This window comes from Homo sapiens, chromosome 2 (assembly GCF_000001405.40).
Source record: "Homo sapiens chromosome 2, GRCh38.p14 Primary Assembly".
Classification (NCBI taxonomy): Eukaryota; Metazoa; Chordata; class Mammalia; order Primates; family Hominidae; genus Homo; species Homo sapiens.
The window spans coordinates 217,099,729-217,102,072 of NC_000002.12; the positions used below are offsets into that span (position 1 = coordinate 217,099,729).

At 39.4% G+C, this 2,344-nt stretch overlaps 1 annotated feature.

Moving 5' to 3' along the window:
* Positions 2,275 to 2,344: an enhancer, noted in NCBI's record as "active region_17103". NCBI's record gives its function as "activates an Ori minimal core promoter by ATAC-STARR-seq in GM12878 lymphoblastoid cells {active_cell/tissue: GM12878}" and the evidence as "EXISTENCE:reporter gene assay evidence [ECO:0000049][PMID:35858748]".

Genomic DNA, 2,344 nt, shown 5'->3' on the forward strand with positions numbered 1-2,344 from the left:
TTGTTTTGGCCTCCACTGGAGTCTGTGTCTGTTATTAGAGGGTGGTGCTGGGTCTGGCCTTCCCACTGGCTTAGTCCCAGGATCAGGACCCATTCCACCAGGACCATGACTCACCTCTGTGTTAGAGGGCTTCTTGAAATCATGGGTTGAGGTTGGGTACCCAGGCCCTTGGGGCCCCAGTGATGCTCCAGGTTGCCCACCCAGAGCCAGAAGGGGTGTGGGCTCTCTGCCTCCACCTTTCTTTATGTCTGCATGTCACACATCCAAATCCCTTTGCGTCTCTCTCTCTTCCTACTGCTGTGCAAATTTGTGTATATTTCTAGGCAAGGGGAGGAAACTCAATTACATGATAGTATATCAATTAAATGCAATAAAAACTTTTTACAACCACTGTGCTTGGAGATGGGGTGGAGTTTGTGGACAAATATGAGAATAATCACTTAAAAATTTTATAATAAACTGTCTATTTTATTTTAGAGATAATTGAAAATACAGAAGAATAAAAAGCCATAAAAATCCTAGCAAAAACAAAACAAGACTATAATTCCATTCCAGAAATACATATTACTAATATTTTGAACCTATCTTTTCAGATGTATTCTACTCATGTGCACATTTTAAAGGTATATAACAATAGAATCTGACTTTTTTGATAATCTGTTCTTAATTATTTCTGCCCTTAACAATATAGAATGAGTAAATATTAAACTTCCATAGTTCTAAACTTAGACATGCTTGCCCTGTATTCTGCACTGTTCAAGGTAGTAGCCAATAGCCATATGTGGCTATCTAAATTTAAATTAATGACAATTTAAATAAAATTTTAAAATTTAACTCTTCAGACTAAATTTTAGACTTAAAACTAGACACTAGACATGTGGCTAGTGTCTACAGTACAGATAAAGAATATTTTCAGCATCACAGAAAGTACTATTGGACAGTTCTGTTCTAGGAAGATACATTTTTATAAGAACTATCTTGAAGTTGAAGGTCTTAGTCGCACCTATATGCCATATTTACACTTAATTTATAATTACTGATGGAGAAGAAACTGCCTGATCTAATTTTTAAATATTCACAACATTTATTTATTTTTTTTAACAAATGTCCACAAGACCTAATGGGACTGGAATACAAAGATAAAAATGTGTGTTGCCTGCCTTCCAAGCCCCTAAGTCTAGGTACTATTTAAATAAATAAATATATATATATATATATATATTTTTTTTTTAATTGACACACTGTAATCATGCATTTTTATGGGGTACAATTTGTAATTTGTGTTTGGTACTAGGTGTTTTGAAGCACTGTTGACTAACTCATTACTTGGAAGTCACCTTTCTTTACCATGTCCCAACAGACAGCCCTTGCTGCCTTGTCCTTAGGCTCTCAGTGCCTTTTAAGTGAGAGCTGCAAACTCCAGTGGCTACAGGGAACAGGTAAACCACGTAAAGTAACGGAGCCACCTGCGTTAATTCAGAAAGGAGTAGAACAGGGACCGTGGTGAGCTGGGAGCACCCATGGAGAGAGAGACCACAGTGGTGTTTGCTCTGGGAGAGGGAAGATTCTGCTCTGCCTTATCTTCTGATTTTTCAAAAAGAAGCCAGAACTCCACAGTTTGCTGTGCTGTGAATTCTTCCTATTATTAATTGTTAAAAACAAACTATAGTTGTTTTTGTTTGTTTTACAAAAGAGGGGTTAACCATAGCAGCAGATTCAGCTCAGTCTATGAGCCACCAGTTTGCCGTCTCCATTATAACCCCATGTCCTTCCAACCTATCCGTTAGCAAGCCCTGGACCAGTAGGTTTTTTCCAGTGTCTCCAAACCTAATCCCTTTTACAAGTAGTTTTTGCATCTCAAGCTTCAGCTGCTTTCTTTCTTTTTTTTTTTTTTTTTTTTTTCAGATGGAGTTTCGCTCTTCTTGCCCAGGCCAGAGTGCAATGATGCCATCTCAGCTCACTGCAACCTCCGCCTCCCGGGTTCAAGCGATTCTCCTGCCTCAGCCTCCTGAGTAGTTGAGATTACAGGCATGCACCACCACGCCTAGCTGATTTTTGAATTTTCAGTAGTGACGGGGTTTCTCCATGTTGGTCAGGCTGGTCTCAAACTCCCGACCTCAGGTGATCTGCCTGCCTCGGCTTTCCAAAGTGCTGGGATTACAGGCTTGAGCCACTGCACCCAGTCTCTTTTCTTACATCTCTCTACACATGCCAGTCAGCCACCCTGATTTTTAAGAACAATTATAACTTGGTTTTTTATGTCTTAGCAGATGAAAATTTCAAGTTAGGTTGATATGGTTTGGCTCCGTGTCCTCATCGAAATCTCCTGTTGAATTGTAATCCC